At 52.7% G+C, this 20,263-nt stretch overlaps 1 protein-coding gene across 1 annotated transcript, besides 4 other annotated features; it reads left to right on the top strand.

Moving 5' to 3' along the window:
- Window positions 4,016-4,310: an enhancer, noted in NCBI's record as "tiled region #4536; HepG2 Activating DNase unmatched - State 8:EnhW, and K562 Activating DNase matched - State 5:Enh". NCBI's record gives its function as "activates a minimal TATA promoter and a strong SV40 promoter by Sharpr-MPRA in HepG2 and K562 cells {active_cell/tissue: HepG2 | K562}" and the evidence as "EXISTENCE:reporter gene assay evidence [ECO:0000049][PMID:27701403]".
- EPOP (elongin BC and polycomb repressive complex 2 associated protein) lies at window positions 6,409-9,663 on the top strand. The gene has a single exon (NM_001130677.2). It carries the CDS (start codon window positions 6,871-6,873, stop codon window positions 8,008-8,010), a length of 1,140 nt encoding a protein of 379 aa, NP_001124149.1. The 5' UTR covers window positions 6,409-6,870; the 3' UTR covers window positions 8,011-9,663.
- Window positions 7,166-8,001: an enhancer, noted in NCBI's record as "H3K27ac hESC enhancer chr17:36829618-36830453 (GRCh37/hg19 assembly coordinates)". NCBI's record gives its function as "activates a minimal SCP1, AML or CMV promoter by ChIP-STARR-seq in naive H9 embryonic stem cells {active_cell/tissue: H9 hESC(naive)}" and the evidence as "EXISTENCE:reporter gene assay evidence [ECO:0000049][PMID:30033119]".
- Window positions 9,276-9,570: a silencer, noted in NCBI's record as "tiled region #8107; K562 Repressive non-DNase unmatched - State 8:EnhW". NCBI's record gives its function as "represses a minimal TATA promoter and a strong SV40 promoter by Sharpr-MPRA in K562 cells {active_cell/tissue: K562}" and the evidence as "EXISTENCE:reporter gene assay evidence [ECO:0000049][PMID:27701403]".
- Window positions 13,516-13,810: an enhancer, noted in NCBI's record as "tiled region #11404; HepG2 Activating DNase matched - State 12:CtcfO". NCBI's record gives its function as "activates a minimal TATA promoter and a strong SV40 promoter by Sharpr-MPRA in HepG2 cells {active_cell/tissue: HepG2}" and the evidence as "EXISTENCE:reporter gene assay evidence [ECO:0000049][PMID:27701403]".

The raw sequence follows: 20,263 nt of genomic DNA, 5'->3' as shown, positions 1-20,263 counted from the left end.
GTGCAGTGGTGATTGCAGGTCCCTGCAGCCTGAACCTCCCAGGCTGAAGGGATCCTTCCACCTCAGTCACCTGAGTAGCTGGGACTAGCTAATTTACATGTTGTTGTTTTTGTTTGTTTTGGTAGAGATGGGGTTTCGCCATGGTGCCCAGGCTAGTCTCAAACTCCTGGCTCTAACAATCTGCCAGCCTCGGCCTCCCAAAATGCTGGCATTACAGGTGTGAGCCATCATACTGGCCAATTTGATTTTTTTTTTTTTTAAGTGAGGAAGTGGGTGGGTAAGAATGAAACAAAACTGACCATGAGTTGGTGAGTGTCGAAGCTGGATATTGGGTACTCAGAGGTTAATTATGTTTATTTACTTTTGTGTAGGTTTGAAATTTTCCATCATATAATACCTTTTTAATTGCATGAGGAAAGATGCTAGTCTTGTTTTACAAATAAGGAAACTAAAGCTTCCTGAGGTTAAGTAATTGCCCCAAAGTCACAAAGCTAGTAAAATGATGGGTCTGGAATGTGAACTGACCCATCTGAGCCCAGAACTTAAGCTGTTAACCCTGGGTGCAAATTCCCAGAGGAGGTAGAGGAACATGTGGGTTTATGCTAGGGGGTGATGCAGCCCTGCTGACTTAGGGAATTCTGGGACCAAGAAAGGTTAAATGATGGTGGCTGGGTGTGGCAGGGTGGAGAAATGGCTTCCCTCTTGGATTCATTGTTGTGGGGTAGCCTTGTGGTTACCAGAGCTAACTTAGGACTCAACTACCTGGGTTTGGGTTCTGGCTCTACCACTTGCTAGCAGTGTAACTTGGGCAAGTCACTTATCTCCCTCAATGTCCTCATTTATACCATGGATTATTTATTTATTTATTTTTTGAGACAGAGTCTTGTTCTGTCACTCAGGCTGGAGTACAGTCCTGCAATCTTGGCTCACCACAACCTCCGCCTCCTGGGTTCAAGCGATTCTTGTCTCAGCCTCCCGAGAATCTGGGCAGCTGGGATTACAGGCGTGCACCACCACACCTGGCTTATTTATTTATTTATTTATTTATTTATTTACAGACAGAGTCTCGCTCTGTCACCAGACTGGGGTGATGTGGCGCAATCTCGGCTTACTGCAACCTCCACCTCCTGGGTTCAAGCGATTCTCCTACCTCAGCCTCCCTAGTAGCTGGGATTGCAGGCACCCGCCACCACGCACAGCTAATTTTTGTATTTTTAGTAGAGATGGGGTTTCACCATGTTGGCCAAATGGTCTTGATCTTTTGACCTTGTGATCTGCTCGCCTTGGCCTTCCAAAGTGCTGAGATTACAGGTGTTAGCCACTGCGCCCGGCCTAGTTTTAAATTTTTTTAGTAGAGACGGGGTTTCGCCATGATGGCCAGGCTAGTCTCGAACTCCTGACCTCAGGTGATCCGCCCACCTCAGCCTCCCAAAGTGCTGGGATTACAGGCGTGAGCCACCGTGCCCAGCCTATATCATGGATATTAATAGGAATGTAAAATGGAATAGCCCGTTTGGAAAACAGCCTTGCAGTTTTTAGTTTAGTTTTGTTTTGTTTTGAGACAGGGTCTCACTCTGCCGCCCAGGCACAGAATGGCATGAATGTGGCTCACTGCAGCCTTGACCTGCTGGACTCAAGTAATTCCTCACCCTCAGCCTTCTGAGTAGCTGAGACTACAGGCACATGCCACCACTCCCGGCTAATTTTTGTATTTTGTAGAGATGGAGTTTCACCATGTTGCCCAGGCTGGTCTCAAACTCCTGGCCTCAAGCCATCAGCCTGCCTTGGCCTCCCAAAGTGCTGGGAATACAGGTGTGAGCTACCATGCCCGACCTTGGCAGTTTTTAAAAGAATTAAACACAGCTGGGCATGGTAGCTCATGCCTGTAATCCCAGCCCTTTGTGAGGCTGAGGCAGGAGAATCCCTTGAGCCGAGGAGTTTGAGACCAGCCTGGGGAATATAGCGAGACCCTGTCTTACAAAAAAAATTTAAAAAGAAATTCGCTGGGCATGGTGGCTCAGGCTTGTGGTCCCAGCCACACTGGAGGCTGAGGCAGAGGATCTCGTGAGCCCAGGAGGTCAAGGCTGCAGTGAGCCCTGACTGTGCCACTGCACTCCAGCCTGAATGAGACTGTGAGACCCTGTCTCAAAAAAAAAAGAAAAAGAAAAAAAAGGTTAAACATAAATGTAGCATATGACCCAGCAATTCCACCCTTAAATGTCTACTTAGGAGAAATAAAAACATATATTCACAAAAGACGTGTATAGCAAATGTTCATAACAGCATTATAGATAATAGCCAAAAAGTGAAAAACACCCAAATGTGATTGGATAAACAAAATGTGGCATATCCCTACAACAGACTACTACTCAGCAATAAAAAGGAACAGGCCGGGCGCAGTGGCTCATCCCTGTAATCCCAGCACTTTGGGAGGCTGAGGCAGGCGGATCACCTGAGGTCGGGAGTTCAAGACCAGCCTGACCAACACGGAGAAACCCCGTCTCTACTAAAAATACAAAATTTGCCAGGCGTGGTGGCGGGTGCCTGTAATCCCAGGTACTCGGGAGGCTGAGGCAGGCGTATCGCTTGAGCCCAGGAGGCGGAGGTTGCAGTAAGCTGAGATTGTGCCATTGTACTCCAGCTTGGGCAACAAGAGCAAAACTCTATCTCAAAAGAAAAAAAAAAGGAACAGATTACCAATACACGCTACAACACAGGTAAACCTCAAAAACATTATGCTTTTGTGAAGCCAGATGCAAAAGACCACATATTGCATGATTCCATTTATATAAAATATCCAAAAAAGGGAACTCTATAGAGACAGAAAGATTAGTCACCCAGGGCTGGGGATGGGAAGGGAGAGCTACAAGTGGGGAGGAGGAGTCTTATAAGCAATGTTCTAAAACTGGATTATGGGGCCGGGCACGGTGGCTCACGCCCATAATTCCAGCACTTTGGGAGGCCGAGGTGGGCGGATCACCTGAGGTCAGGAGTTCGAGACCAGCCTGGCCAACAGGGTGAAACCCTGTCTCTACTAAAAATACAAAAATTAGCCGGGCGTGGTAGCATCTGCCTGTAATCCCAGCTACTTGGGAGGCTGAGGCACAAGAATTGCTTGAATCTGAGAGGCGGAGGTTGCAATGAGCTGAGATTGAGCACTCCAGCCTGGGCAACAGAGTGAGACTCTCAAAAAAAAAAAAAAATTTAGCTGGGCGTGGTGGTGGGAACCTATAGTCTCAGCTACTTGGGAGGTTGAGGCAGGACAATTGCTTGAACCCGGGGGGTGAAGCCTGCAGTGAGCTGAGATTGTGCCACTGCACTCCAGCCTGGAAGACAAAGTGAAACTGTCTCAAAAAAACCCCCAAAACTGGACTATGATGATGGTTGCATAACTGTAAATTTACTAAAAATCATTGAATTGGACACTTAAAATGGGTTATGTGTGGTATGTTCACTTTTAAAAATAGTGTCGGCCAGGCGCAGTGGCTCATGCCTGTAATCCCACCACTTTGGGAGGCCAAGGCGGGCGGATCACAAGGTCAAGAGCTCGAGACCATCCTGGCCAACATGGTGAAACCTCGTCTCTACTAAAAATACAAAAACTAGCTGGGCGTGGTGGTGCGCGCCTGTAGTCCCAACTACTCAGGAGGCTGAGACAGGAGAATGGCTTGAACCCGGGAGGCAGAGGTTGCAGTGAGCTGAGATCGCGCCACTGCACTCCAGTTTGGGCGACCGAGTGAGACCCTGTCTCAAAAAAAAAAGGTCTATTTCATAGGCTGTTATGGGGATTAAGTGACATCCAGTTCTTAGAACAGAGACTGGGCAGTAAGTACTACAGAAGTTACTATGGGGTTGGACGCCTGGGGTGCAGTTCCCCAAAAGGGGCAACCGGGCAGGTCTCCTGCTCCCAAATCCTTGAACACAGTCCTTACTGCCCCAGGTGAGACCTAGATGGGCCAAGGAAAGGGAAGGGCTGGCTTCTGGATCCAGAGGGGCCCTTTCTAGCCTTCACTCTGGAAGTGTTAGATGGGACCCGGCATCCAGCCTTGTCCCTCTTTTTCTCCTATGAGGAGGAGAGGTTCCTGAGAAGGGTGTTGCCGCCCTCATAGCAGGCTGAGGATGGGGTCGAGTGTCCTCTACCGGAGGAAATGGTAATTGCAGCAGCTGGGCCTGCCCACGTGAGTTCTGGTGACTGCTCACATCATGTTTCAACCCTCCCAACAATGTGAGGAAGCCACTGTTGTCCCCTTTTCACTGATAAGGACATTGAGACTTAGAGTGTCTAGGTGACCTGCCCAGGGTTGCACAGCGCCACCCCCGCCCCCATCCAGGCCATAAAGGGTGGTTTGATGATCTCCTTTCAGCTGGAGAGGCACTCACACTATTCTCCTACTGTTTGTAGTGATTCCATCCCTGAGTCCATATTCTGGGGTGCCTGATGAGAGCAAGGGGAAGTAGGGATAGTGGAGGCAGAGAGAAGCACTCACAATCGTAATGACCCCTCAATAAAGCCCCCAAACTCACATGGGGAAGGGGGAGCTGGGAGCTTTTGGAGGCAGAGAAAGAAGAGGCCATTGATCTGCACTGTTATGTAATATTCACTCATTTATTCATACTGATCATTTTCTTGGGCATTCTCTCCTTGTGTCTACACTGTGGTAGGCACAGGAGTGCAAGTAGGCACTGTTGTTGAGGATGAGTCCTCAGCACTGTCCTGCAGAAGAGACAGCCATGAAGATCATCCTTCCAGAACTTTCCGTGTGTGTGTGTGTGTGTGTGTGTGTGTGTGTGTGTGTGTGTGTGTAGAGGTGGGCTTTTTGAGCAATTATGAGCCCTGGAGTCTAGACCCAGCTCAGCTTCATGACTTGGCAGGACCCCAGGATCCCCCCTTGTGACAACTGCCCTGGAGAGCTCTTCTGCAGATGTTAGAGGGTGAGTGTTTTGGGCAATGGAACATCACACCTCCTCCTTCCTCAAACCCTCGCCCCACCTAGGGACTTTACCTCTGGACTTTGCAGGTGGGGGAGGCAGATCCTCCTTACCCCTGTCCTCCCAGATGTTATTTGATGACACATAGGGAAACTACACCTCTGTTGTCACTGCTAGAAGGGCCCGGAGGCAAGCTGCATCATTTGTCCCCGTTCTGAAACCCTCTCTTGTCCTGGCTCCAGAATAAGATATTTATCTGTGGGGCCGCCCCCAGCATTCTTCCACACCTTTACCCCAAGTCATCATACCAATCTCTGTATTTCCACAGATAGGAAACGGCAGTATTCCAATAACCTGATTTTTATCAAGAGAGAAATATCCCAAGGATTCATTCACTCGCTCACTTGCTCATTCATTCATTCACACATATTGATTGAGCACCTATTATATCTTGGCCACTGTTCTAGGCAGTGGGGGATGCACCAATGATCAAGACAAAGTTCTCGTCAACTCATTTCCAGACTAATGGGAGAGACAGACACTAAAGAATAAATCCATTTACAGACTTTTATGTAACAATAAGCTATGCAGAAACTAAAGAAGGTTAAGGGGATAGAACAGGGTGGGGGTGTGTGCTGCATTATCAGAATTTGTACTGGGAATTCACTTTTTCTTTATTTTCCTTGGGGCAGATGAGAGTGAGGGTCTGCGCGTGCCCTCCTCTGGCCTCTTCAACCGGTTTGGCAGATCAAACCTCAGAGGGGGGCATCCTGGGATTGGGGGTCAGGGGTTGCAGAGTCAGCCCTCGGAATTTAGTTGAGGCGGAGTATTTAGATACTGCATCAGAGAAATGGAAATAGATACCGAGACAGCCTATTTATCGGCTTCCATGGATGTAATAACACTCCCACCCTTCCAAATTTATTTTTTTTGTTCATCTTGCATACAAGTACTGAATTATTAACTACTTATACATTACAGCATTTTTGAGCCTACTGTGTGCCACGCACTGTTTTAGGGGCCATTCACGGCCCGCTAGAATCCCTGCTGTGCAAAGCTTGTAAACAACCATTGCCTCATTTCATCTTTCCCCTAAACATTATTTCTGAGATTCATCTACGTTGATTCACATAGCTCTTTTAGTCCCAAGAGGGCAGATATGAACCGTCCCATTTTACAGATGCAAAACCGTGACTGCTCGGGAAAAAACGAGTGGCTTTGCGACGACGAAATCCCAGGACGCCACCGGGCCACGTGCGGCGGCGCATCTGGCCGCTCGCGATCCCACCCGCGCACGCTCCCTCCCGCGCTCCCTCCCAGCCGCCGCCGCGCCGGGTCCACGTGTGTGTGTCTGTGTGCGGAATGGGGACGGGGGCGGTGCCGCCGGAGGGGTGGGGTCCGGGCTAACGTCACGGGCGGTGCGGCCCAATCAGCGGCGGGCTCGCGGCCCCGGCGCTGGTATTGGGGCAGCGAGGGGGCAGTTCTCTATAACGCGGTCTCCGGGAGCCAGCGGGGAAGAAAGAAACCGAGCGGGCGGAAGGCGCCCTCCCCGCCGCCTGGGCCCGGGCACCGGGTGCCGGGCCCGGGGTCCTTCCCGCCTCCCGCGGCCGCCGGCCGCTTTGTTTCCCCTGCCTCTGCGCTTCGGGCGACTCGAGAGGGTCTCCCGCCGGGGTTGCGAAGGGGACGCGGCGGCAGAAGGGCGGCCGACCCCGCCGGGACTCACAGGGACCCAGGAGTCCGGCCGCCGGGAGGGCCGCGTGAGGAGAGCGAAGAGGGAGCCCGAGCTCTGCGGCCCCGGGTGGCGGGCCGGGGGCGCCCGTGAGCAGAGACCTCCCCGTCGACGGGGGGCGATGTTCCCCTCACCCGTGGGCTCTTCGGGCAGCCAGGGCATCCCGCCGCTGGGACCTGGACCCGCTCAGTGGGCACCCCTCAGGCTGCTCCATGGAGACCCTGTGCCCTGCGCCCCGCCTGGCAGTGCCGGCGTCCCCGCGAGGGTCGCCCTGCTCCCCCACGCCCCGGAAGCCGTGTCGGGGGACCCAGGAATTCTCTCCGCTGTGCCTGCGTGCCCTCGCCTTCTGCGCCCTTGCCAAGCCCCGGGCGTCCTCTCTGGGCCCGGGGCCTGGGGAGCTGGCGGCGCGGTCCCCAGTGCTGCGGGGCCCTCAGGCCCCCCTGCGCCCTGGCGGCTGGGCCCCGGATGGCCTGAAGCACCTCTGGGCACCGACCGGGCGGCCCGGCGTTCCTAACACCGCCGCCGGCGAGGATGCGGACGTCGCAGCGTGCCCCCGCCGCGGAGAGGAGGAAGAGGGCGGAGGCGGTTTCCCGCACTTCGGCGTTCGCTCCTGTGCACCTCCGGGCCGCTGCCCTGCGCCCCCGCACCCTCGGGAATCTACGACCAGCTTCGCCTCGGCCCCGCCTCGCCCGGCCCCGGGTCTCGAGCCTCAGCGTGGCCCAGCCGCCAGCCCGCCTCAGGAACCCAGTTCCCGGCCTCCGTCGCCACCTGCGGGCCTCTCCACCGAGCCCGCGGGTCCCGGGACGGCGCCGCGGCCGTTCCTGCCCGGCCAGCCTGCCGAAGTCGATGGAAACCCCCCGCCGGCCGCCCCCGAGGCTCCAGCGGCCAGCCCCTCGACGGCCAGCCCGGCTCCGGCCGCACCCGGAGATCTCCGCCAGGAACATTTCGATCGTCTGATCCGCCGGTCGAAACTTTGGTGTTACGCGAAGGGCTTCGCCTTGGACACTCCGAGTTTGCGCCGGGGGCCAGAGCGGCCGCCTGCGAAAGGGCCGGCTCGGGGAGCCGCCAAGAAACGCCGGCTGCCGGCGCCCCCTCCGCGCACCGCGCAGCCCCGCCGCCCTGCACCGACGCTCCCCACCACGAGCACCTTCAGCCTCCTCAACTGCTTCCCCTGCCCCCCGGCCCTGGTGGTGGGGGAAGACGGAGACCTAAAGCCGGCATCCTCGCTTCGCCTCCAGGGAGACTCTAAGCCCCCGCCCGCCCACCCGCTGTGGAGGTGGCAGATGGGGGGTCCCGCTGTCCCTGAGCCCCCTGGCCTCAAATTCTGGGGGATCAACATGGATGAAAGCTGACCGTGGGACTTCTGCCAAAGGGGAAAAGTTGGGACCATGGCCAAACCGCGGGCTTGAGGAGGGAGCCCCGTTTCTCACATTTGTCCCCTTCCTTTACATTTTAGGAGCTGTGGGCAGAGGGACCTAAATAACAGTGATCTTCATTCAAGCACCTAAGTTTTCGGGGTGACAGTCCCTCCCCCTCATCCTTTGCAGAGGAACCCAGGGCTGGAGTCGGGAGAAGGCTGATGACATAGATTCCAATCCCTGCCTCCTTCCATCTCGGACCGTTGGAGGCAGGGCCTGCACCCCAGTGGGAGCAAAGGAGGCCACCGCTCAAAGACACCCCCCCACCCAAAAAAAAGGGGAGAAGAGAGAGACCTCGGTGATGGACAAACCGGTTGTTACTGTGTCTGTGGGCGAGCCTGGGGTGCGGGGCTGTGGTGGGGGTGGGGAGATGATTGGCAGCTCCCTGGGGGCATCCCCCACCCCCACTGTCCAGGCCTTTAACCCTTTGCTCCCCTCAGGCCTTCCCTAACGCTCCAAGCACCGCTGGAGCCTTTAATGGGTGAGGGAACTTGGGTAAGAGGAAGATCACCCCCTTCCTGTCCCCTTTCTAGGCCCCCTCAAGTGCAGGTGACCCTTAATTGGTGAGATCTTCAGCCTCAGCCGCCGACCTTTCCCTTTTGTCCAGTTTTGGAGTTCCCGTTTTTTCCTTGTTTGCTTTCCGAGTGTAAGGTCTGGCCGGTGAGAAAGATTTCCCCCAACCTTGATTAATCAGCCCCCTCCCCCAACTTACTTCCCTTAGGACGGGTAGGGCTGAGGGACCTCCTCTCCTGGAAAGTGCTTACTTTGCCTGGGGAAGGGGCTAGACACTGTCCCAGGGAAAGTAATAGAAGGTGGAAGAAATCAATAAAATCAGACCAAACAAGTCGCCTTTCGAGGGCCTCCACCGATTTATGGATGAGAGGGGGTGGAGGTGGAAGGCAGGCCCAAGTCCATTCTTTGGACACCCAAACTCAGCCCCCTTAAAGAGTGGAAACAAAACAAGCTGCACTTTGCAGAGGTGGTAAATGAAAGGACTCTTGGCCTAACTTCAAGAGTCCCCTGGGGTTTGAAGGGGCAAAGTTTGAGTCTGGATGGAACCTGGGCTGAGGTACCTTAAGCTTCCCCCCGCAACACCCCAGCCTCAGGGATTGCGGGAGTTGTCAGAGATCTGATGGATCCGAAAGGGGCAGGGCCAGGGGATTAGGTTTGGGGTCAGAGGTTCTGTTTTCCAGGGGAGGGGTGAGATAGGCCTGGATCATGCCCTCTGCCATGCCCTCCAGCTAGGAGGATCTTGAGTCAGAGAGGATTGGAAGTGCTTTCTCCTCCACCCAGGTGAGGTCAGGGGAGCTTAGGTCTTAGGGAGATGGCAAGTTGAGGTATGAAGGGAAGCTGGGGCTTTTGGAGCTGCCGAACAACTGAGGGACCCAGTGCGCCTTCCATCCCGCACTAGTGAATAGCGCCCCCTCTTCCCCCGAAAACGAGGTGCGAGAGGAACAATTCCCACGCTGGGGAAGGACTTGTCTCCTTTTCTGTGAAAATGCTTTGTAAAAAGTTGTTATTGTTTGCATAGAGCAGATTCTTGAGAAAAACTGTTTTGGACCATAAAAGTTTTGTTTGTTTTAAAAACTGTCTCCTTTCATTTTTCTTTCCTTGGGGGTGAGGGTGGGGGTGGGGTGGGTGGGCACTTCTCTCTTTTTCCTTAACATCTGGCCTCTGTGAACCCTGCTGACCTCCCCTCCCCCTCCAGCTGTGTTGTGGGAGGAGGAGGAAGAAGGGGTGGGGGAGTGCCTTCCACCCTGTGCTTCGGGAGTCTCCATCTTATTTTGCCCCCCAAGAATGGAGAACGGGAGGAAGAAGACACAAGGGGTGGGGAGAGAATCGCTGTGAAGAGGGGGGCTGTCAGAAGTCTGGAAAGGCAGACTCCCTGATTTTCAAAGACCCCTTGGTTTTAGTAACGCGCTCCGGGTCAGCGTCTGCCCCACCCGCCTGCCTGGAGCCGGGCACGGGATGATGGTGTGAGCTCTGGGTGAAGGAGGAAGGGCTGGTGGGCATGAAATACTCTTCTTGGACTTTCCTCCTCTTCGGGGCAGGAGGAGATGCTGTTAATTTAGGTTCTTTCCTCCCTGCATCACCTGCCCCCACCCTCACTCCCCCACCCCCGCCCTGCAAGTGAAAGGGTTACAACTCAACCTGGAAGGGGGCGGGGTGGCGAGTTAAAAAACACACCTTTTGGCCAAATAAGATTTAATTCTAGTTATTTTACAGAATAGGGAACTACGTTAGTTTCCAGGGCTGCCATGACAAATCATAACAAACTTGGTGGCTTAAAAGACAGATATTTAAGCGGCCGGGTAAGGTGGCTCACGCCTGTAATCCCAGCATTTTGGGAGGCCGAGGCGGGTGGATCACAAGGTCAGGAGATCGAGACCATCCTGGCCAACATGGTGAAACCCTGTCTCTACTAAAAATACAAAAACTAGCTGGACTTGGTGGCGCATGCCTGTAATACCAGCTAGTCTGGAGGCTGAGGCAGGAGAATCGCTTGAACCCGGGAGTCGGAGGTTGCAGTGAGCCGAGATCATACCACACTGCACTCCAGCCTGGCGACAGAGTGAGACTCCATCTCAAACAACAACAACAAACCCCGATATTTCTTCTCTTCCATTTACTGGGACCAGAGGTCCAAACCTAAGGCATTGCAGGGCCGAACTCCCTCCGAAGGCTCTCGGGAAGGGCCCCCTCCGTGCCTCTTCCAGCTTCTGTGGCCCCAGGTGTTCCTTGACTTGGGGCTGCAGAGTTCCCATTCTCCCATGGTATGGCCCTCCCCTCTCCTGTCTGTCACAAGGACACTTGTCATTGGCTTTAGGGCCCACCAGACAATCCAGGATGATCTCGTCTTGACATCTTTAATTAAGTTACATTTACAAAGACCCTTTTTCCAAATGAAGTCATATTCACAGGCTCTGGGGGAGTGGGGGCTGGGGATTAGGACCTGGACACATCTTTTTGGGTTCCATCATTCAGCCCACCCCAGAAACTGAGTCCCAGAAAAGAAAGAAACTTGCCCAGACTTCTGGGGGAAGCAAACAGGTACTGAGTATTTGGGGTTGGAATAGGGAAAAGCGTGCTTCCAAGCGAGGGCCACAAGTTTCTCCGAACAGGAGCCGCCTGGGGAAAGGGGAAAGGGACCCCTGGCTTTCCCTAGGCTCTGAGCTCCCGGGAATCTGGGACTCCCTCTCCCACGCCAATACGCTGGAGCCCGAGAGGGTCTGAGGAAGTCTGCTCTCCCTCCCAGGTGTCTTCAGCCCCTGCTTCTACCCCTCCCTTCCTCCAGTCCCATGTCCTCTAGGGCTGGTGGCCACCACGTTGGTTTGTCAGGGATGTGGTGGTCATAGTCTTATTTCTGTCTGGGTCTCTAAGCTCTTACAGCATCACCTGTTTTCCTTCTGTCTCAAAGGGTCTCAGAGGGTCTCCTCTCCATGTGCCTCTGGGTCTCTACCCTCCTCTTCAGGGTCTGGCAGGACCCCCAGAGTAACCCCTCGCTCACCTTCCCCTATCCCAGCCCTGCTTACCGTCTCCTCCCTCCTCCCGGGAGCATCAGCCGCCTCCAGCTCCTCTGCCTCTCACCTCTTAGACCTCTGCAGCCTGACTTCTGTCCCTGAAACCGCTTTTGCCAAGGTCAGCCAGGAGAGCCCCCAACCTCAAATTCAACAGTTGCCTCCCTGCCACCACTCCTGGACTTCTGCATAGCCTGTGACACTGCTGGACACTCACAAGGGTCTCTGTCCCCAAAGGTCCCGCCTCTGTCTTCTTCCATCTCCTCCTTCTCTTGCCCCCCTCCCCCAGAAGCTTTAAAAAGACAAAGTCCGATGAAGTCCGGTGGCGCCTGCCCTCCACCCTATCTGCCCGCAGGATTCTGTTTTCCTCCCCTAGGTCATCAGCTTGCACCTATATGGGTAAATGACTCCCACTTGACTGTCCCTGCCTCCTCTCCCTCCAGCACCCCTCCTGAGCCTTGGTCCCGCATCTCCACAGGGACAATGGCAACTCATTTGCCCCTGTCAAAGACCAAGCTCCTGGTCCCTGCCCACAGCTCCCTGCCCACAGCAGTCCCCCTGGTCAAGTCCACATTCTGGTTACAGCTCTGCTTTTCTCCCCATTACTTCCCCTGGACTCAGCACCTTGAATTCTCAGCTGGGTCCTCCCATTTGACCCACAGCTATCTATTTCCAAGCCTCCCCCTGCTTCTCCCCTCCCAAGGATCTCACAATTCTGTCTCTAATCTCCACTCCATCATGGTGCAGTGTCCCCTACCTCTAGGCTGGACTATGACAGTAGCCACCTAACTATTAATAGTTTCTGGGTGTCTGGTTTTTCTCTGATGCCCTCAGATCAGTTTACCTTCTTACTGAGTGGGTCCCCTGATAGTATTAAATGCAGCCTCCTTGGCCTGTCATTTGGAGCCCTCTGTGATTTGGCCTTAACCCCCAGCTCCCTCAACCAACTTGGTTCCCATTACTTCGCTTTATACCAGTGAAGGTATACCTGGTCTACTAGGCTGGAATGCACTTCCTTCCCCAGCGCCCCCAGCATGCCCCTCCCTGCTTTCTTTACCTTCATTCTCCAATGCAAAATGTCATCTCTCCCATGAAGTATTTTTTGATTCCCCCAGTTAGATGTGCTTCATGCCACCTCTAGACCCTCTTCACTCTTCTGTGTCTGGTAGGAAGGGACTGTGGAGTGTGGAGGGCGAGTGCGGCTTTGGGGCCAGACACTCCCGCTCCCCTCTGTCTATGGAGAACCTGGGTCAGGGGACTCGAGGCAGAACCTTCCTGACCTAAGCTTTCATTTTATTGCCTTGGCCTTAACTGAGAGTCATTGACATGTAACAACCATTTCAAAAAAAAATCGCCCCTGCAATTGTAAAAACTTCCTGAGAAGGCTGGCAAGGTAGCTTGTGTCTGTAATCCCAGCACTTTGGGAGGCCAAGGCGGGGAGAATCACTTGAGCCCAGGAGTTTGAGCCAGCCTGGACAACATAGGGAGAACTTGATGCTACCAAAAACAAACAAACAAACAAAAACAAAAAACAAGCTGGGTGTGGTGGCGTGCACCTGTAGTCCCAACTACTCTGGAGGCTGAAGTGGGACGATTGCTCAGCCACTTCAGGGAGATCAAGGCTGCAGTGAGCTGTGATCACTCCACTGCACTCCAGCCTGGGTGACAAAACGAGACCCTGTCTCAAAAACAAAAACAAAAAACACTTCCTGAGAAGACACTGTCCAGTGTGCCAAGTCCCCCTATGCTGTGTTCACATTTTCTCTAAGATAAAAAGTTAGGGTATTGATGACAAAGTTATAATTATTTGTGATTTTTCTTGTGTCCTTCTACAGTGATCTTGTATCTCTTGCTTCATTTTTTAAGGTCCTGGATCAGTGCCTTGCACACAGCAGGCACCTAATGAATACTTGCCCAATGCATTTCACCCCACCTCCGTTCCTCCTGACCCCTCCACCCTTGTCTAAAGCATTTTTAAAAAGCCTCATTTAAATGACTGCACAGCAGCTTGGCGAGTGACCCTTGGCCAGAATGCAGTTCCAGAGCTTGTCCACTAGATGCTGCTGTCTGCTAGCACCAGAAAGAGGATGGCGAGCCAGAGAAGGGTGGCTGGGGAAGGGATTCATTCTCCCAGGCCATGGAGTGAGAGCCCTGAGGGGGATCGATGTGCAAGACGTGGTCTCTGCACACAAGGAACTTAAGCAGGTGTCAGGTGTTTTACAGGCATTATTTTGCTTTCATAGCAATAGATAAGTACTATTTGTTTAGCAGATGAGGAAATGGGACTCAGAGAGGTTAATTAACTTGCCTGAGGTCACACAGCCAGTGGAGGAGCAAAGTAGCTCTGGTCTGTCTGACTAGGTTTCCTCCTGAGTGGTTATCATAGCAAGCACTGTAATGGCATTTCCTTGGAACCAGGCCTTGTTATATTATGCTTAGTTGCTCATGTAATCCTCAGGACACAACATGAGGTAGGTACTATTATTTATTTATTTATTTATTTATTTATTTATTTATTTATTTATTTATTTTTGAGACAGAGTCTCACTCTGTTGCCCAAGCTGGAATGCCGTGGCGCAATCTTGGCTCACTGCAACCTCCACCTTCTGGGTTCAAGTGATTCTCATGCCTCAACCTCCCTAGTAGCTGGGACTACAGGCGTGGGCCACCATGCCTGGCTAATTTTTGTATTTTTTAGTAGAGACGGGGTTTCACTATGTTGGCCAGGCTGGTCTCGAACTCCTGACCTCAAATGATCTGCCCACCTTGGCCTCCCAATGTGCTGGGATTACGGGTGTGAGCCACCGCGCCCAACCGTGGTACTATTAGCTCCATTTTGCAGATGAGAAAACTGGGGTTCACAGAGGTTAAGCCCATACAGCTACGGAATTGTGTCCTTTGAGTTTGTGCTCTAAATGACCACACTGCTGCCATGTTTCACCACCCAGCAGCAACCTGTTATGGGGTGGGAGTAGCCCCCACCAATATGTAGAGGTCCCAGAGCTCTGTTCCAGAGACACAAAGACACAGAGCCTGCCCCCAAGGTCCCTAGAGTGGCATGGGGAAAGCAGGACATGCAGTCCCCTCCTTAGGGTGTGGACTCTCCACAGATGTGCTGAGCGACTCAAGCTGAGTGTTGAGTGTTTTACCCTCTCTGGGGCTCAGTGTCATCACCTAAAATCAGGGGACTCTGTAACAGAAAGTGCCTCTCAGACGCAGACTTGCCATCCATGGTGATTTTTTTTTTTTTTTTTTGAAACAGGCTCTGACTCTGTCACCCAGGCTGAGTACAGTGGTGCGATCTTGGCTCATCGCAGCCTTGATCTCCCAGGCTCAAGAGATCTTCCCATATCACCCTCTCGAGTAGCTGTGACCACAGGCACGTGCCACCATGCACAGCTAATTCTGTTTATTTTTAATTTTTTTTTTGAGACGGAGTCTTGCTCTGTTGCCCAGGCTGGAGTGCAGTGGTGCAATCTTGGCTCACTGCAACCTCTGCCTCCTGAGTTCAAGCAATTCTCCTGCCTCAGCCTCCTGAGTAGCTGGGATTACAGGTGCCTGCCACCATGCCTGGCTAATTTTTGTATTTTTAGTAGAGGCGGGGTTTAACCCTGTTGGCCAGGCTGGTCTCGAACTCCTGACCTTGTGATCCACCCGCCTCAGCCTCCCAAAGGGCTGGGATTACAGGTGTGAGCCACCGTGCCTGGCCAATTTTTTTTTTTTTTGAGATGGAATCTCGCTCTGTCACCCAGGCTGGAGTGCACAATCTTGGCTCACTGCAACCTCCACCTCCCAGGCTTAAGCGATTCTCCTGCCTCAGCCTCCTGAGAAGCTGGGACTATAGGCGTGCACCACCATGCCTGGCTAATTTTTTTTTTTTCTATTTTTTTAGTAGAGACAGGGTTTTGCCATGTTGGCCAGACTGGTCTAGAACTCCTGACCTCAAGTGATCCGCCCACCTTGGCCTCCCAAAGTGCTGGGATTACAGGCGTGAGCTCTGTTTATTTTTTGTAGAGATGGGGGTCTCATTATGCTACTCAGGCTGATCTTGAACTTCTGATCTCAAGGGATCCTCCTGACTCAGCCTCCCAAAGTGCTGAGATTACAGGCATGAGCCACTCTACCCGGCTTCCACGATGATTTATTACAAAATCATGGCACTTAAACAAACAGAGGGAAGTTACCTACTCTAAAATGCACCAGAATTTCAGCTTGATGATCATTACACATGTACATTACCTGTGTGATCGCCACCCAGACCTAGATAAGCAACACTTCCAGCCTTTGGGAGGCTGTGTGAGGCCTGCTCCCAGTTGATCTCCTGACCCGGAGATGACCACCATGCCGGCCTCTGTCACCGAAGATCCGTTCGGCTTGTTTTTGACCCTCATAAGAATGGAAGGTACGTTTTTGGGTCTGGCTTCTTTTGTTCAACATTATGCATGGGATTCATTCATGCTGTTGCATGAAGCTGTAGTTAACTCATTTTATCACCGTGTAGTATTTGATTGAATGAATATTCTGCAATGTATATGTTTTCCTGTTGATGGATGTTTGGGCTGTTTCCAGATTTTAGTTTTATGTATAAAGCTACGTGTTACAGTTTTTATTGTTGTTGTTTGTTTGTTTGAGACAGAGTCTCGCTCTGTTGCCCAGGCTGGAGTGCAGTGGAGTGATCTCAGCTCATTGCAACCTCTGCCTCCCAGGTTCAAGCAATTCTCCTGCCTCAGCCTCCCGAGTAGCTGGAATTACAGGTGTGAGCCATCACGCCTGGCTAATTTTTGTATTTTTAGTAGAGACGGGGTTCTGCCATGTTGACCAGGCTGGTCTCGAACTCCTGACCTCCAGTGATCCACCCGCTTTGGCCTCTCAAAGTGCTGGGATTACAGGCGTGAGCTTCTGTGCCCAGCCTTTGTGTCACAGTTTTAAAGGAGAAGAGAAAGGAGCTAACATTTCTCAAGCGTTAAGCGTTAACTGTCTCCAACAATGGGCTAAGGACTGGAGATGAGAAATAACTAAAACCTCATATTGCTCTCCGACAGCTCACCACCTAGCAGGGGAGAGAGGTAAGTGAGCAATCAGGACAAGACAGGCATAGAGGTGGAGACTGGTGAGGTTGAGGGAACAGTGGAGCATGTGGGAAGAGCATCAGGGCATCAGAGGGGGCTTCTCAGAGAAGGAGCTCTCTGAATTGAGTCTTCAAGGATATAGGAATCCCTGAAGTGAAGGCCGGGAGGCACTGGGGCAGAGCACACACAAAAGTGCCAAGATTTGAGTGGCTGGAGCACAGGGTACATGTGACAAGAGATGAAGTAGACCGAGGTCAGATCACAAAAGGTCTTATATGTTAGGGTAAGGAGTTGATTCTGAAGACAAGAGGGAGCCCCTGAAGGGTGACCCAATCAGACTGTGAGAGAAGAGGGCTCAGGAACAGGCAGGGTGAATACTCACATTTCATGATTCATGGGAGGCTGGTGTGGAGTCCCTGGGGGTAGAGGCAGGGGGGCAGGGGTGGAGGCTGTGAGAACCCATTCGGGGGCGGGGTCGGCGGGGAGAAGGAGAGGACAGTCTCGGTGAGGGGGTCCTTACAAGGTAGACTCACCAGCTTTGGTGACAGATTGAATGTGGGGTGAGGCAGAGGAGGAGTGTGGCTTGAGTCCCAGATTTGGCCCTGTTGCCTGCGTGGGTTTGTGGCTGAGAGAGGCCTGAGCTGGAGGTAGGGAGGCTTTAGGGCATCAGACAGGATTGGACGGGAATGGCCAAGGCATGCATGTGGGGTGAGAAAAGGGCCAAGAACAGAGCCCTGGGGCACATTTACAAAGGGGAGCCAAGTGCCGTGGCAGCTCACGCCTGTAATCCCAGCACTTTGGGAGGGCAAGGAGTACGGATCACTTGAGCCCAGGAGTTTGAGACCAGCCTGGTCAACATAGTCAGATTTTGTCTCTACTAAAAATTAAAAAAAAAAAAAAAATTAGCTGGGCATGGTGGTTCGTGCCTGTAGTCCCAGCTTTGTGGGAGGTTGAGGTGGATCACTTGAGCCCAGGAGGTCGAGGAAGCAGTGAGCCATGATCATGCCACTGCACTCCAGCCTGTGGTGGGCAAAAGAGGGAGGCTTTGTCTCAAAAAAAAAAAACAACAAAAAAAGGCGGGGGCTGGGGAGGAATGGCCAGGGAGAGAGTGGGGAGAGAGAGGGTGGAGAGGAGGGAGAGAGGGGGAGGCTCTGGGGGCTCTGGTGACCACTGCTCATTGTCCACCCAAATCTGAGCTCCCTGTGCCAACTGGGTAGGCACATTTCCCAGCCCCTTTGCGGTCAGGTATGACTATGTGATTTAATTCCCACCACTGGGCTGCGAAGGGGAAGGGGTGTGTGCCTCTCCCAGCCTGGGCTTTAAGACCCTGGGCCTGCCCGCCCCACACTCCCTTGCCCTTCCTGCTGGCTGGAACCCGGCATGGCAGTCACTCAGCTTCGGTCCTGAGTCACTGGCAGGGCCCTAGGGGGCAGCACAGCAGCACATGGAAGGAGCCTGGTCCCCGAATGGCTGTGAGAGCTCCCGGCTGACCTGGAGTGTTCACCTGCAACACAGGAAAGAAGCAAATTTTACATTCTTCAAGCCATCATCTTTTTTTGGATCTCTTTGTTCTAGGAGTTTAGCCTAACCAGTACAACTTAGACTAAGCTAAACAGTTTAGCATAGCCCAAATAATACAGAGAATTAACCTAATGAAAAAATAATTAGCCAAATTAATACAATGGAAAATTAAAACATAATAAAATAAAATATTGGCCTAACGAACACAACTTACCCTAACTCATCCAATAATCAAAGGAGGAGAGTATCAAGAAAGGAGGAAAACAGGGTGGAATGTCACACAAAGATGGGATAGAGCCGGGCATGGTGGATCATGCCTGTAATCCCAGCACTTTGGGAGGCCAAGGCGGGTGGAGCACTTGAGGTCAGGAGTTTGAGACCAGCCTGGGCAACATGGTGAAACCCCGTCTCTACTAAAAATACAAAAATTAGCTGGTGTGGTGGCGCAAGCCATAGTCCCAGCTACTTAAGAGGCCAAGGTGGGAGGATCACTTGAGCCTGGGGAGGTGGAGGTTGAAGTGAGCAGTGATTGCACCACTGCACTCCAGCCTGGGTGGCAGAGTGAGATCCTGTCTTAAAAAAAAAAACAAGATCAGATACAGGATGAGGAAGGTCCACTGGCCTTGGCAAGCAGGATGGCACCAGTGACTCTAGTGAGATCTTCCTGGGGAGTAGGGATGAAACGGGAGGGAAAGAAGCAGATCCAGCCCATGCATCTCTTTTGAGGAACTTGGATGAGGAAGGGCAGAGATGAGGAAGGCTCTAGAACGAACCCAGGATCCAGCACGATTACAGTGCGTTAGGAGAGAGGGAGGGGTTGGGGACACCGGAAAGAAGAGAGGAAGGCCTCTGTGGAGGGCAGGTGCTGGGCTCCAGAGCTCAGGTGGACAGGGATGGACAAGCGTGTTCCCAAACGGGCTCAGACTCCTGCTCCTATGCACATGCACACACACACGCACGTGCACGCACACATGAACACACATGCACACACACCTGACACAAGAGCCTGGAGACAGGCTGGGCACGGTGGCTCACACCTGTAATCCCAGCACTTTGGGAGGCCGAGGCGAGTGGATCACTTGAGGTCAGGAGTTTGAGACCAGCCTGGCCAACATGGTGAAACCCCATCTCTACTAAAAATAAAAAAAAATTAGCTGGGCACGGTGGCAGGTGCCTGTAGTCCCAGCTACTTGGGAGGCTGAGGCAGGAGAATCGCTTGAACCCAGGAGACAGAGGTTGCAGTGAGCTGAGATTGTGCCATTGCCCTCTAGCCTAGATACAGGGCGAGACTCCGTCTCAAAAAACAAAAAACAAAAATAAGAAGAAGAGGGGCTGAGTGTAGTGGCTCACACCTATAATCCCAGCATTCTGGGAGGCCAAGGAGGGAGGATTGCTTGAGGCCAGGAGTTTGAGACCAGCCTGGGCAATATAGTGAGTCCCCCTATCTACAAAAAATAAGCAATTAGCCGGGTGTGGTGACGCATACCTGTAGTCTCAGATGCTTGGGAGTCTGAGGTGAGAGGATTGCTTGAGCCTGGGAGGTCAGGGCTTCAGTGAGCTGTGATTGCCCCACCACACTCCACCCAGAGAGACAGAGCGAAACCCTGTCTCCAAAAATAAAAGTAAATAAATAAATATATTAAAAAATTAGCCAGGCACAGTGGCATGTGCCTATTGTCCCAGCTACTCAGGAGGCTGAGACAAGAGGATCACTTTAGCCCAGGAGTTTGAGGCCGTAGTGAGCTATGATCGCACCACTGCACCGCAGCCTGGGTGACAGAGTGAGAACTTATCTCAAAAAAAAAGAAAAACAAACAAACAAAAAAACACTTTGGGAGGCCGAAGCGGGTGGATCATGAGGTCAGGAGTTCAAGACCAGTCTGGCCAACGTAGTGAAACCCCATCTCTACTAAAAATACAAAAATTAGCCAGGGGTGGTGGTGGGCACCTGTAATCCCAGCTACTTGGGAGGCTGAGGGAGAATCACTTGAATCCGGGAGGCAGAGGTTACAATGAGCCAAGATCGCGCCACTGCACTCCAGCCTGGGCGGCAGAGAGACTCCATCTCAAAAAAAAAAA

This window comes from Homo sapiens, chromosome 17 (assembly GCF_000001405.40).
Source record: "Homo sapiens chromosome 17, GRCh38.p14 Primary Assembly".
In the NCBI taxonomy this organism is placed as follows: domain Eukaryota; kingdom Metazoa; phylum Chordata; class Mammalia; order Primates; family Hominidae; genus Homo; species Homo sapiens.
The sequence above is the reverse complement of the archived record's forward strand: the minus strand, read 5'-3'. Positions and strand labels throughout refer to the sequence as shown.

Coding starts and splice junctions, on each gene's coding strand:
- EPOP (NM_001130677.2), top strand. CDS start 6,871: ATGGAGACCCTGTGCCCTGCGCCCCGCCTGGCAGTGCCGGCGTCCCCG.